Here is a 15,260-nt window from a genome sequence, read left to right on the forward strand (position 1 = left end):
GAGAACTATATCCAGCAGGATGTGTTACCTTTATCTGGAGACAAGTTACAGAGAGTGTTCAAGTTCTATTCCAGAGGGACCACCTAAGGAGATTATACATCAATCACACATTCACTTCTGATATATTTTCTCTGATATATTCTGCTAGAATGCCCTTCATGAATATCAGCATCCCATGTTTGAGGCAGATGTTGGGTTAGGCCCTATAGGCGCAGAAATTGTCACAAATGCCAGCCTTTGGTGTGAGAGACAAGCCTTCTCATCTATCAGCAAGCACACATAACAAGGTTATCTTTGAGGTCATGGGGAAGTGGGTTCCCACAAGCGGGCAAGTGCATCAGCATCTCAGTATGGTCTACAGTCCAAGACCAGTTTGTACCATTTTAAGGTTATCCTACCTCAGGTAGAAGGAGGTGGGATAATGACCACATACTACATTCTTGAGAATCCTCAGACTAGGGTGAAACAAAGTGATCCACCCTCAGCTTGAATGAGTGGACACATTTAAAGCATGTTAGAGTGGCAAATAATATTCATAGCCTGTATTAGTTCATTCTCATGCTGCTAATAAAGATGTATCTGAGACTGGGTAATTTATAAAGGAAAGAGGTTTACCATTCAGCATGGCTGGGGAGGCCTCAGGAAACTTTACAATCATGGAAGAAGGGGAAGCAAACACATCCTTCTTCACATGGTGGCAGCAAGGAGAAGTGCTGAGCAAAAGGCACCCTTGTAAAACCAGCGGCTCTCGTGAGAACTCACTCTCACGAAAACAGCAGCATGGGAGTAACCACCCTCATGATTCAGTTAACTCCCATCAGGTCCCTCCCATGGCACATGGGGATTATGGAAACTACAATTCAAGATGAGATTTGGGTAGGGACACAGCCAAACCATATCACAGGCCTAGCTGGTCTTCAGGTTGCAGTTACTATCTGAACTCCCCTGAATATTGGCCAATTAGTACTGTCCTTTTCCTAAGGTAATAACCTCAATCAGGTTTGACTTCCCAATTTGAGCAGAACTTCAGAATCATTCAGTTAAAACACTAAGTATATTCTGCCTTTTGCTCTTTCATTTGTCTATATAGAACTGTACCTATCTGTATGTCTTTCAAGATCCTTCAATATGGCCAGAGGAAAGTGGTGGGAGATGGAGGTGCAGAAGAGGGACCAATTTCCACAAGGTAGTGAGAGGGGGCTTCTCTGGGTCCATTAGACTTAATCTGAAGTTAGAATGTTGGAAAGAAACCAGTCAGGTGAAGAGTAGCAGAGGGTGCATTCCAGGTGGTAGGACCCACATATTTGACAGTTCTGAGCCATGGGAGAGTCTGGAGTGTGAAAAACTGAACAGAAGCCAATGAATCAGAGCTCAGACACCAGGGAGAAAGAGTAGGAAGTGATTAATTTAAAGGGACTGCAAAGGAGCCAGTTCTTGTAAGGTGTTGTAAGTCATAGGAACATTAAACTCACACTGTTTTTCTGTGCTGTAACTTTAAGTGCTATAAATTTAGAGTGTAAAATAACTATAGGCCCCCCTAAAGACTGAAAAATTGGTACAGAAAGAAGAAAGTTTACAACAAGCCTTCAGTACATTACAGTTTGTAAATAAACTGTCTTTATTATTTCAACTTGTTGATATAACCTTGTCTCTGGAAAAATTGATTTTTTTGGTCTGAAATTGTTTAGTTTTCTTGGGTTTACAGAGAATGCATCATGATTTTCCAGTTAAAATATTATTTTCATTTAGTGGCTTTTCACTTAGCAGTAGGGTTTTCAGGAGTGAATTAAACATAATAACGAGGAAAAGGTATATTTCTATTCAGTAGCAGATAATTCTAGTATCTAAAACATTTATATATAATTCTGTCAGTTTTCTTTTTCTGCTGGCACTCAACTCATTGGACTTTATTTGTTTTTTAGAGACAGAGACAGGGTCTCACTATGTTGGCCAGGTTGGTTTTGAACTCCTGGCTTCAAGTGATCCCACACTTCAACCTCCCAAAGTGTTGGGATCACCCACATGAGCCACTTATACCCTGCCACTCATCAGAGGTACTTAAGATCCTCACCCGTTTTATGATTTTTTGAACTCGAGCTTATGTTCAGTGGAATTTTATAGGAATTATTTGAGGTCTGGATAGAAGAATATTCCACCAAAGAGAATATAATTTTAATCCTTCTAAGTGATTTATCTCTGTTGACTAATAACCGCTTTAAATAATTGGCTTGAGGTTTTTTTGGATATCAGAGGAAGTAAGTCTTTTTATTCTACCTAGCATCTAGTTTTTGATAGACAAGTTTCCTTATTATACCCCTCTTCTGGTTGGTTTGGCTTCTCATTGTTGCTATTGTTGTTCACTTTTCACTGAAGATATAAGGCTTTCTGGTTTATGTGTAGGTCTCCTCTCAGCCTCTGCATGTTGGGCAGTCTCTTTTGTCTCCTTTCTCGTAAGCCCCAATGCAGCTTTTATTAAAAGGAAGCTCAAGTTCATTAAAAATCAGCAGACCCTTTCAGGGTAGGTGCTTACGTCAGGGTTCTCTTGCCTCTCTGGATTCATTCATTCACTTCATTTATGTTTACCTCTAAAGCATTTTCTTTCTTGGCAGCACAGCAATACATTTTTTTTTTTGTATTCAACATTTTCTGTTATTTTTCAATGGTAAGTTTATTTAGGGCATCTCCATTTTTTTCAAGCTTTTGGAATCTTTTGCTTTCAATTACTCTTAAATACAGCAAATTTATATTTTGCTACAGGTTCCACTCTGAGTCATTTTTTCTTAATAGATTATTACATCCCATTTACCTTTATTGAAAATCTTTCTAAAGTAGTTTGTAGAGGGAAACATTAATTTGTTCAGGTAAATAAATACAGTAATTCTAGTATCCAATAAGAAATTACAAATTCTAGATATGTGAAACTAATTAACACTGGAAAAAAGTAAAACCCCATAACCTTATAGAAATGTGTTGTTCTTGTGGTGGCTCATGCCTGTAATCCCAGCACCTTCAGAAGCTGAGGTGGGAGGATCAGTTGAGGCCAGGTGTTTGAGACTAGCCTGGGCAACATAACAAGACCCTGTCTCTACAAAAAGAAAAGAAAGACATGTATTAGTCTCAGTTAAAGCTTGTATAAAGCAAGCAACAAAAATGCTCAAATATACAAATGCATGGGTAAATAAAGCCCTGAACCTTAATGTGGGAACCGTAAAAGCAAATGTGAATATGGCATTTCAAGACTACATAACTGAGAAGCAAGCCAAACTATAAAATAAATTAATTCCTGTAGAATAAATACAGAGAAAGCAAATGTAACTGTAAAAATGGAGCAAAACATGTTGCAAAATCCTGTGAATGTGAATAGATTTCTATATAGCCATAGAACTTGTAGATTAACAAATGGTTCAAGAAGAACTGGTACAATGGAGACAGAAAAATGACTTCCAATGTTACAACTGCTTATAGAAAAGATAAATATTCACTTATGTACAACAAGCAATAAAAAAGGAAGACGTCTAATAGAAATTGGCTTTTGAATGACCGTAATTATTAACAAGAAAATAATTTTAGAAGTATCAGATAGGTTCTATTCTTCATTCTCAAAATCTAGACTACCATTTCTGCTGGAATCCAGATTATATACTTCATCTGTGTCACTCATTGCATTAAGAGTCATCAGTCCTTTAAACCAGCGGTCCCCAACCTATTTGGCACCAGGGACAGGTTTCGTGGAAGACAATTTTTCCACGGACCAGGGGCCTGGGAGGGATGGTGTCAGGATGAAACCGTTCCACCTCAGATCATCAGGCATTTTCTCATAAGGAGCACGCAACCTAGATCCCTTGCATCTGCAGTTCACAATAAGGTTCACACTCCTATAAGAATCTAATGCTGCTGCTGCTGTGACAGGAAGCGGAGCTCAGGCGGTAATGCTTGCTCGCCCTTCGCTCACTTCCTGCTGTGCAGCCCCATTCCTGACAGGCCATGGACCTGTACCGGTCTGCAGCCCAGGAGTTGGAGACCCCTTCGTTAAGAGATCAACCAACTCTTCAATATGTCAAGATTTATGTGGGTAATTATATCAGAGGAGAGAAGGCTCTGGTCTTGTCCTCTTATAAGGGCACTAATCCCACCATGGGGGCTCTACTGTCATGACCTCATCTAAACCCAGTTATATCCTAAAAGCGCCATCTCCAAATACCATCACATTGAGGATTAGGGCTTCAGCATAAAAATTTGGGGGAGATACAAATATTCAGTCCATATCAGCATATGGATGGTGGTTGGAATATAGAAGAATAAGACTCTCCAGGTAGAGGGTATATAGAGTGCTAAGAACAGAACCTGGGTGTGACTTGCAATTGGAGTGCACACAGAGGAAGAGAAGTTGAGTAGGAGTCTAGAGGGAGTGATCAGAAATATGAGGGCAGAACCATGCTCAAAGGAACTCCAAAGGGCTTAAATTTGAGCGACAGAGGTACTCAGAGAACATTTGCTTTTGGGAGTCTCATCCTGGAGAAGATATCTTTGTATCTCTTATTTCCCACCAAACTAAGTGAACTTTCATCAGTTATTTCTAGTCAAAAAGGTAAATGTGAAATATTAAGTAGTCCAGTTGAAGCAGACCTTTCATTATTTGATCATTGAGTGACCTATAGCCTCAGTTCCAAATTCTTAAGATAGGGACAAAGTTACCTGTTTTATAATAAAGCTTAAAAAAAAATTCCCTACCCTGCTCTGTCCCACTTGACCTCTGAAATCTCCTAGTTGGTCAGCTACCAGGAACAGGTAATGGTTGTGTTGAAATCGGCCCACTTTCCATACTTTTGGGACATGTTTTAAGGCTTCATTTGCAAATGTTAAGATCTTAGACAGTGCTAGTTGCCAAGAGCCACCTACAAAGGTAATGCCAGTCCTCGGACCCAAATCCCAGGGGACTCTAGGTCTCAGGTGCAGAGCCTAAATTAAGAACCAACTCAGTAACAAAATTCTCCTTAATCCTTGGAAGCTAAAGATCCAGCTTTGAAAAATGTATTTCCATGTAATATATTGATACTTTTGTTGTGCTCATTATATACTATAAAACACTTGCAATTCATTTATGCTAGTTGAGTCTCTTTATTTATTTACTTATTTTGAGATGGAGTCTCACTCTGTCACCCAGGCTGGAGTGCAGTGGGACGATCTGAGCTCGCTGCAACTTCTGCCCCTCCTCCCTCCAGGTTCAAGCAATTCTCCTGCCTCAGCCTCCCAAGTAGCTAGGATTACAGGCACACGCCACCTTGCCCGGCTAATTTTTGTATTTTTAGTACAGACAGGGTTTTGCCATGTTGGCCAGGCTGGTCTCAAATTCCTGACCTCAGGTGATCCACCTGCCTTGGCCTCCCAAAGTGCTGGGATTACAGGCATGAACCACCACACCTGGTCTTGTTGAGGATTCTTGCATCTATGTTCATCAGGGATACTGGCCTATAGATTTTTTTTCTTGTGTCCATATCTAGTTTTGGTATCAGGGTAATGCTGCCCTCACAGGATGAGTTTGAGAACTGGTATGAGTTCTTCTTTAACTGTTCAGTAGAATTCAGCAGTGAAGCCATCAGGGCCTGGACTTTTCTTTGATGGGAGACTCTATATTACTGATTTAATCTCATTACTCATAGTTGGTCTTTTCAGGTTTTCTATTTCTTCTTGGTCCAATTTTGGTAAGTTGTATCTGTTCAGGAATTTATCCATTTCCATTTGGTTTCCAATTTGTTGGCATATAGTTGTTCATAATAGTCTCTAATGATCCTTTGTATTTCTGTGGTATCGGTTTAATGTCTTCTAGGCCCCTGCTGCTTTCAACACCCTGAAGGGTACAAAAAAAAAAAAATTAAGGTCTTTCCTTCAATGATTTTATTCTTAATTAAGGAGAACAATCACATGAAGAAAATAATAAGTAAATGATAAACTATGTTGTTCTGATTTTAAGAATGACAGTTTTAAAGGGAGTGATCACTATCAGCTAGAAGGATTAAGAAAAACATAAGGAAAGAGGTGAAAAATAAAGATCCATAGATATAATGAGCCCAGATAATTGATTAGTCTGGATTCCCTGGAACAATCCCAGCTGGAAATGTTTTGTATCATTACCTTCATGGGACGCACTGGAGTTTCAAAATTTAACAGTGACTAGTATAATAATTAAGGACACAATTATTCCAAAGACTTGGAACACAAAATTACTCCAAAGACTTGGAACACAAAAGGTTATCCAATTTAAACAAAAGCAACCTTGCAGATTTTATTCCTACCTTAAAGTAGTTTGCTGAGCACTTACAGTAATGTTCCAGGCACGGCAAGGAGCGACCTGCGTTAGCCAGGCAGAATGCCCGCCTTCACTGAGCTTATTTCTTTCATGGTTTTTTTTTTTTTTTTTGAGACGGAGTCTCGCTCTCTCGCCCAGAAAATGGCGTGATCTCGGCCCACTGCAACCTCCGCCTCCGCCCCCGACCCCGGGGTTCAAGCGATTCTCCTGCCTCAGCCTCCCGAGTAGCTGGGATTGCAGGAGCCCGCCCAGCCACCCAAGCAGCTGGGATTGCAGGCGCCCGCCCCCATGCCCGGCTAATTTTTGTATTTTTTTTTTTTTTTTTAGTAGAAACGGGGTTTCACCACGCTGGCCAGGCTGGTCTCAAACTCCTGACCCCAAGTGATTCGCCCACCTCGGCCTCCCAAAGTGCTGGGATTACAGTCACCACGCCCGGCCAGTTTATTTCTTTCAAGAGACACTGGCGTTCAGACTATCTGAATCAATCCGGTAACTACGCCCACTGAACACCTACTACATGCCAGGTATTGAACTAAGCCGCCCTTCATATGCCATCTCATGTAATTATCTCAACAACCCTACCAAGTTAGCAGCAAGGTTTCCAGTTCTGCCTTCGAAGGGAACCTCCTCTCACCGGAGATCCCTATGACAGACCCTGCGAAATATTTTGCTGCATCAGAATGCTACAGGCCGTCAACTCCCTAACATGCGCAAAAGCGGGCAGCCGATTATCCAGGGTAGTGGATTATCCAGGAGAGTGGATTATCCAGAGTAGCAGGTCTGGCGCGATGCCCGCCCGGCTCAGCCCATCTCCCTAGCAACGAAACCCTTCCGCGCCGCGAGGTTGCTGAGCCCCGCCCCCTCCATTGGCGCGCCCTCGCCATCCCCCGCCCTGGCACGCGCTCTGCGCATGCGTACGCTCGCTGGCCCCGCCCCCTAGCGCCGCGGTCGGAGCCATTTCGCCGATTCCTCCATGCGAGTTGCTGTGCGTTTCTCTGTTGTCTCGGTAGAAGGCCAGAGTCACACACGGTCCTAAGAGCTGGGCACCAGGAAGCGAAGGCTGGTAAGGGAGAGACGTTCCGGCTACCATGCGGGGCGGCGGGGTCGCGGGCGGGCGCCGTGGACCATGGCTCCGCAGCCGGCTTTGTTGCGAAGCGCGGGCGGCGGCGGCGGCTGGGGGTGGGGGAAGGGACGAGCCGCCCGCGGGTCCCCGGATTGCGGGTTGCGTGCGCGCCTCGCCGCGATGCGCTTGCGCCGTCCGGGCAGCCTGTGGCCCCCTCCCCTCTCCTCCGCCCAGCGTTTCCCGCTGCTGCCTCTAGCAGGCAAAGCGCGCTTCCTCCTCTGGCCTGCGTACGCCGGGGCACCGCGGCGGCTGAGGGAAGGGGGTGCTTCGCCTGTGGTGGTTGCCGCCGGGGCGCCACTGGCCTAGGGCTCTTCATTCATTCAAGCCACGAATAACTGGCGCCGTCGTGCAGGCCTTGTGGGTAGAGGAAAAAAAATTGAAGAATGTAAAGGGAGAGCGCCTTTGGCTAGTATAGCGAGGTAAGGCGTCTCGAAGGAGGGAGGCTTTGAGCTGATAACCTCGGCCAACGCGAAGGAAAAGCAGAGCCTGCAGAAGCGGAAGGGATTAGTTATCGCTTAAGGGCAGAAACTGGGCGGGAGCTGAAAGCAGGCCATGTGACTGGAGTGTGGCGAGAAGGCCTTCAAAGGAGAATGGGTTTTAGGGTGGCAAGAGTGGAAACAAAAACCGTGTAGGACAATATTTCACTAGCCCGGGTGTGCAGTAGTGGTGGCAGGAGAGATGGGGAGAAACGAATGGATAGGGGACGTATTTTGAAGCAGAAATGCGTAGTGGTGGAAGGTAGTAGATCTGGAGTCAGGCTACGTTTTCTGGAATTCTTGCGCCTTTTTTTTTTTTTTTTTTTTTGCAAGAGTCTCGCTCTGTCGCCAGACTGGAGTGCAGTGGCGCGATGGCGGCTCACAGCAACGTCGGTCTCCCGGGTTCAAGTGATTCTCCTGCCTCAGCCTCCGGAGTAGCTGGGACTACAGGCGCGCGCCACCACGCCCAGCTAATTTTTGTATTTTTAGTAGAGACGGGGTTTCATCATGTTGGCCAGGATGGTCTCGATCTCTCGACCTCGTGATCCGCCTGCCTTGGCCTACCAAAGTGCTGGGATTACAGGCGTGAGCCTCCGCGCCCGCCCGAATTCTTGCTCTTATAATTAGGAGCTCTGTCTTCCTGAAGCAAGATATTCTTTGTCTCAGTTTCCCCTTCTCTAAAGGGATAGTGATCTTACCTGTACAAGGTTACTAAGGATTAAGTAAAATAGTTCCATTTAGATGATCTATTATGGATATTGTTTGACACACATTAAGGGTTCTACAAGGGATAGCTATGGAGAATCTTAAGGGAGTGGACGACTCTCAACTTGTGCCAGGAGTAACTTGGTGGATGTCGTACCGTTTATGGAAACCGAAATGTAGGGGTAGGGTGTTGGAACAGATTTGAGGGGAAATTTAAAATTCTGTTTTGACTGAGATGCCAAGTTAGCATGCAAATGGGTGAGTTAGTGCCACAGTTGGATGAACTTAATTTTGGACTTTAAAGAGAAACGACGGGCGGGCGCGGTGGCTGACGCCTGTAATCCAGCACTTCGGGAGGTTGAGGCGGGCCGATCAAGAGGTCAGGAGATCAAGACCATCCTGGCCAACACGGTGAAACCCCGTGTCTACTAAAAATACAAAAAATTAGCTGGGCGTGGTGGCGGGCGCCTGTTGTCCCAGCTACTCGGGAGGCTGAGGCAGGAGAATCGCTTGAACCTGGGAGGCGGAGGTTGCAGTGAGCCAAGATCTCGCCCCTGCACTCCAGCCTGAGCGACAGAACGAGACTCCGTCTCAAAAAAAAAAAGAGAGAAAAGACTAAAGTTTAAATATATGTATTTGGGCATCGATAGCATGTAGTTGGTATTGAACATTATGGGGTTGTAAGAGACTAGGGAGACAGGAGTTTGATAGTATAGTCCTTCGTATTTCATATTACTCATTCACCATGAGGGCTTGTTGTTTAATTATTCACGAGGTGGAATTTCCAGATAAACATTTTCAGCTTTCCACGGCTTTTTTGTTAATAGGACATTCCCTTCGCCAAATGGATGACCAGAGTTAGACTGTGGCCACTCAGACGTAACAAATTTATGCTAGGGGTGCAGTTTGATGACGTTAGACTTAGGTGCTAACAAAATGCATCAAACGTGAAACGTGAAGCAGACGGTTTAATGCTGGTAATGGGATTTCTTCTCACAGCAAACTAAATTCATAGCATATTTTATTTTCTCTGGTTATAAATGTGGTCTCATATCTTGCTTACAGTTTAGACTCAGCATTTAGACTGATAGGCTCCATATCTTGTGGTATTTTATAGACTTGTTGCACTTCAAGAAAACTTTAATATCCTCAAATTTTAATAAAAAGGCCTAAAGGAGAGATTTGGTATAGAACATTTAAGTTAATAGGTTACCGTCTTCAGTACTGAGTGCTTAATGTATTTGAACTTTATTATATTATTAATACATGGCCTACAACTTTGGGGACAATATGCTAGTGGTCATAATCAGAATGAGAATAAAACATTGAATTTATATGCAAATGATAACTTTCTTAATATATAGTAGTTTGGATTTGAATTTAGGCCTCCACGGTGGGTGACTTGGAAGTTACTTTTTTAAATCTTAGTTTCTTACTTCCTGAAAAGACAATGATAGTACCCACCATATCTGTGTGCCATTGTTGTGAGGATGAACTGAGTTAAATATATAAGGTGCCCGTTGTAGAATATAGGGCCTTATATAAAATACTTTGTAAGAAAAGATAAAAATCACTCTTAGTCCCCAAAGATAACCATTTTAGGGGGTATTTCTTTCCAGTCTTGATCATGTATATGTACTTTTCATGAAGTTCAAATCATACCGTTTTGTATCCTTTTTCTTACAACATATAAACGTTCCAATTATGTCGTTAAAATTTATGGGGAGTCTTAATAGCAACATGATAGAATATCCTATGTTTAACCCAGATTCAGTAATCTAGATAATTGGTTCCTCCCAGTTTTTGCTATTATAAATGCTGTTTTTAACTGACTTTTGTTTTCTTAGATCTGAAGAAGACACTTGAATCATGGGTGACGTTAAAAATTTTCTGTATGCCTGGTGTGGCAAAAGGAAGATGACCCCATCCTATGAAATTAGAGCAGTGGGGAACAAAAACAGGCAGAAATTCATGTGTGAGGTACTGAAGAATACAGTTTGCATTTATGTGATTTATGAGGTTCATTTTGGGGTTAAAAGAAAAATGTTTTCTGTTTGGAGATGTTAATGTGTTGCACATTAGGAAACGACAGTTCTTTATTGTGACTTGACTGCTATTGTAAATCATTTTCAAGTCAGCATTACTTTTAAAACAATCTGACAGGTAAATTATTCTAATTAGAGCCTATATCTTCCTCAGCTTCCTCAGTACCAGTAGTGGGGATGGGAAAAGTTGGATCAACTGTTTGCAGTTTTATAAGCACGTTTAGAAAGCAGAGCAATTCTTGATTGCTTCAAATCAAAGTGCTTAAATACAAATGGAGAGCTTGTTCATGGATATTACAGAATCAGATTTTAATGTGAACCTTCTGTTATATGAGAAAAAAAAATCTGAGCCACTTAAATTATTTTTGGATACAACACAATTTAAGCTTTTTCAGTAGCTCATGCATTCTCTTATTTTTATATTTATATTTATAGAGTATATTTCCTAAAGTTAGCTGTTTGTTGTCTCTTAATGGACTACTGAATTACGACTTTTTAAAATCTCAGAATTACCCAGGTCAGTCTCTTAGTACTTTTTTTTTTTTTTAAAGGTTCAGGTGGAAGGTTATAATTACACTGGCATGGGAAATTCCACCAATAAAAAAGATGCACAAAGCAATGCTGCCAGAGACTTTGTTAACTATTTGGTTCGAATAAATGAAATAAAGAGTGAAGAAGTTCCAGCTTTTGGGGTAAGTACCTATGGCGAAGCACTTGAGATGTATGTTGTAAAGTTGTACAAACTCAATATGCGTAAGAGACTCAAGATAGTAATTTTTCACTGTTTTCAGATATATCGTGTTTCGTAATGAAATTTGGCATCTTGTTTTGTCTCAGCACTGGACAAAATTTCTGAAGATGTGGATTGCATCCTTATTATATACCTGTCTTAGGGGCTTGAGAAATTCCATTAATCTTTGTGTCTTATGGCTTTATTTCATGTATTTATACACCAGAAATTTCAGAGTCTGTTATGTTCCATTCATTACCAATGATAATACTTTAAATAAAATAGAAAAATCAGTAATATTTTAGACATGTTTGCTCCCATTGACACTCCCCCTGCCCCGTAAGCGATGAGGTCTTGCTCTGTTACCCAAGCTAGAATGCAGTGACACAACCATAGCTCACTGCAGCCTCAAACTCTTGGGCTCAAGCAGTCCTTCATCCTTAACCCCCTTAGTAGCTGGACTACAGGTGCATGCCACCACTTCTGGCAAGTTCTTTGTGTTTTGAGGCAGAGTCTTGCACTGTCGCCCAGGCTGGAGTGATCTCGGCTCACTGCAGCCTCCGCCTCCTGGGTTCAAGCGATTCTCCTGCCTCAGCCTCCGAGTAGCTGGGATTACAGGCACGCTCCATGATGCCCAGCTATTTTTTATGTTTTTAGTAGAGATAGGGTTTCACCATGTTGGCCAGGCTGGTCTTGAACTCCTGACCTCAAGTGATCCATCCACCCACTTCCGTCTTCCAAAGTGCTGGGATCACAGGCATGGGCCACTGCACCTGGCTGACATGTCCTTATATAACAAAATAGTATTTTATGCAATGGAGTATTTTTGTGTTTTTTATGTCATGATTATCTTAATTATATTACGTAAGTATGCAACAAATACCTCTGTCTAGTAGGTTGTTTTGGGGGATTTTTGTTTTGTTTTTCTGCCTTTTTTCTTTTTGGGGCTCAATCAAACTCTTGGCCTCAAGCCATCCTCCCACTTCAGCTCTTCCCCAGTAGCTGGGACTGTGGGTGTGTGCCGCTACACTAGGCTCTAGTAGTTTTTAAGAAATAAGGTTTTTTTTGTTTGTTTGTTTGTTTTGTTTTTTAAGACGGAGTCTTGCTCTGTTACCTAGGGTGGAGTGCAGTGCTCACTGCAACCTCCACCTCCTGGGTTCAAGCAGTTCTCCTGCCTCAGTCTCCTAAGTAGCTGGGATTACAGGCACCTGCCAACATGCCCAGCTAAATTTTGTATTTTTAGTAGAGACGGGGTTTTACCATTTTTTGCCAGGCTGGTCTCGAACTCCTGACCTCGGCCTCCCAAAGTGCTGGGATTACAGGTGGGAGCTACGGCGCCTGGCCCACGCCCAGCTAATTTTTGTGTTTTTAGTAGAGACAGATTTTCACCATGTTGGCCAGGCTTGTCTTGAACTCCTGACCTCAAGTGATCCGCCCCCTTCAGCCTCCCAAAGTGCTGGGATTACAGGTGTGAGCCACTGTGCCCAGCCTGTCTATGCCAGTTTTAACAGGGTCCTGTTACTGAATTTTTGTATTCTGCCTTGTTTATGACAGTATTCTGACTCGTTATGAAAGAAATCTTATTTCCTTCCATTCCTTTGACTAAGAACTCGATAGACTTACTTTCCGGTAGATTAACTGCTGGGTAATTATAGTATCTTACAGTCTTTAATTTTATTGGTTTGCCTATCTGTAAAATGAAGGGATTGGGCAAGATCATCTTAAAAATGCCTTCTGGTAGAGAAAACAGTTTTGCAAATGTCTTTTACATGTTTGAAGTCTCCCTCTATTCTTTATCTTTTAGGCTCTTCTCTATGGTCTTGTAGATCTGCTAGTGACAAATTCTCTTATTCTCTTTCTGAAAATATTTTTATTTTACCTTCTTTAAGAATATTTTCACTGGATGTAGAATTCTGGGGTACCAGATATTTTTTTCCCTCTTTTGGTATGTAAGTGGAAAAAAAAAAAAACAATTTTCCTCTTCTCTCATACCACAACAATCAACAAAGAAGATTTCTGTGACTAAATGTGGGGTGGAGGTGGGGGACTTTTTCCACACACCCCAAGCAAGCAATCAGTTCTGCAGCAGTCACTAGCAGGGTATCCTCCAGTTCAACTCTGACACTACCTGGAGATAGCGTCAGACTCCACAGGGTGAGGACTCAGTCCCACAAGACTCCCCAGCCCCTTCAGACACCACTTGCAAGTCTGGGCCTCTAGAACTTCTGACTGACTAGCTTCAAGTTATGGTTTTCATGACTGCCTCTTTGGGGTCAGTTAATTTGCTAGTGTGGCTCACAGAACTCAGGAAAACCTACATTTACCAGTTTATTATAAAGAATACTACAAAATACAGTTGGTGAAATAAGTAGGGCAAGATATGGCGGAGGCAGCAGGGAGCTCCCATGCCCTGCCTCGAACACCATTCTTCAGGAACCTCCACCTGTTCGGCCATTTGGAAGCCCTCCAAACCCTGTCCTTTGGTTTTTATGGAAACTTCATTATTCAGTATTGATTAAATCGTTGGCCATTGGTGACTTGACCTTCAGCCCTTCTCACTTCCCCAGAGGCTGGGAGGTGGGACCGAAAGTTTCAGCCCTCTAATCTTTCCTTGGTGGTTCTGGTGACCATCCCCCCACACCTGAAGCTACCTAGGGCCTGCCAGCCAGCAGTCAACTCGTTAGCATACAGAAAGTCTCCACTTAGGAGATTATAAGGATTTAGGATTTCTATGCCAGGGAAATGGGATTGAAGACCAGATGTACTTTTTTTTTTTTTTTTTGAGATGGAGTTTCGCTTTTGTTGCCCAGGCTGGAGTGCAGTGGCATGATCTCGGCTCACCGCCACCTTTGCCTCCGGGTTCAAGCGATTCTCCTGCCTCAGGCAGGAGTATCTGGGATTACTGGCATGTGCCGCCATGCCCGGCTAATTTTGTATTTTTAGTAGAGACGGGGTTTCTCCATGTTGGTCAGGCTGGTCTCCAACTCCCAACCTCAGGTTATCTGCCCGCCTTGGCCTCCCAAAGTGCTGGGATTACAGGCGTGAGCCACTGAGTCCAGCCAGAGACCAGATAGGCTTTAAAGATAATATGACACTGTCTACTTGCTGTTTTCTGTAAGAAGTCAGCTATAATCAAATCACTCTCTCCCATATGTAATGTGGTAGTCTGTGTTTTTAAGATCTTTTCCTGTTATTTTTGGTTTTTAGTATTTTGTGTTGTGACCGGGCATGGGTTTTTTTGTATGTGTGTGTTCTAACTTGTTCAAGGTTTGCTGAGATTATTGAATCCATAGATTTATGTATTTCACCAACTTTGAGAGACTTAGCTATTATTTAAGATATTTTTTGTTTTATTTTTTCTTCTTTCCTCTTGGTGTTTATATTTATAAAGACTTGATATCCCACAGGTCCCTGAGGCTCTCTTTTTTTTTTCCTATCATTTTTTCCACTGTTTCTCAAATTGAATAATTTTTATTGATTATCTTCAGATTCTTTGATAGTTTTTTCTGTCCCTTCCATTTTGCTAAGCCCACCCAGTGTATTTCAGACACTACCTTTTTCACTTTTAAAATCTCCAGCTTATTCTTTTCTGTATGTTTTCTCTGGTGGCATTTCTTTTCATTCGTTATAAGTGTATGTTTGTAATATAAATATGGATTTCTTTTATGTCATGAAGCTTAATTCTAATAGCTGCTTTAAAATCCTTGCCTACTACTACTAACATCTGAGTCATCTCAGGGTTGGATTCTCTTGATAGGTATATTTTCTTGAGGTTGGATCACATTTTCCTCTTTGTGTATCAAATAATTTTTTATTGCATTCTGGGCATTGGAATATTATGCTGTGGAGACTCTGAATAATGTTATACTCCTCC

At 42.3% G+C, this 15,260-nt stretch overlaps 1 protein-coding gene and 1 long non-coding RNA gene across 3 annotated transcripts in view, besides 2 other annotated features; one reads left to right on the forward strand and one right to left on the reverse strand.

Annotated features, from left to right (window-relative positions):
- DHX9-AS1 (DHX9 antisense RNA 1) lies at nucleotides 1,586–7,505 on the reverse strand. The gene is made up of 2 exons (NR_148933.1): nucleotides 7,226–7,505; nucleotides 1,586–5,848 (listed from the first exon to the last, which is right to left on the reverse strand). It is a non-coding gene; the product is annotated as a DHX9 antisense RNA 1 (long non-coding RNA).
- Nucleotides 6,886–7,727: an enhancer, noted in NCBI's record as "NANOG-H3K27ac-H3K4me1 hESC enhancer chr1:182808107-182808948 (GRCh37/hg19 assembly coordinates)". NCBI's record gives its function as "activates a minimal SCP1, AML or CMV promoter by ChIP-STARR-seq in primed H9 embryonic stem cells {active_cell/tissue: H9 hESC(primed)}" and the evidence as "EXISTENCE:reporter gene assay evidence [ECO:0000049][PMID:30033119]".
- Nucleotides 7,151–7,580: a silencer, noted in NCBI's record as "silent region_1621". NCBI's record gives its function as "represses an Ori minimal core promoter by ATAC-STARR-seq in GM12878 lymphoblastoid cells {active_cell/tissue: GM12878}" and the evidence as "EXISTENCE:reporter gene assay evidence [ECO:0000049][PMID:35858748]".
- Nucleotides 7,261–15,260, forward strand: part of DHX9 (DExH-box helicase 9) — a 48,636-nt gene continuing 40,636 nt past the window's right edge. For both annotated transcript variants that reach the window (NR_033302.2, NM_001357.5), the window contains exons 1-3: nucleotides 7,261–7,370; nucleotides 10,459–10,591; nucleotides 11,208–11,348. Coding sequence is in view for 1 of the 2 variants with exons in the window: in NM_001357.5 (NP_001348.2) it covers nucleotides 10,481–10,591; nucleotides 11,208–11,348 (252 nt within the window). In the remaining variant the exon portion in view is untranslated. The remainder of the gene's footprint in view (nucleotides 7,371–10,458; nucleotides 10,592–11,207; nucleotides 11,349–15,260) is intronic.

This window comes from Homo sapiens, chromosome 1, assembly GCF_000001405.40.
Source record: "Homo sapiens chromosome 1, GRCh38.p14 Primary Assembly".
Lineage (NCBI taxonomy): Eukaryota > Metazoa > Chordata > Mammalia > Primates > Hominidae > Homo > Homo sapiens.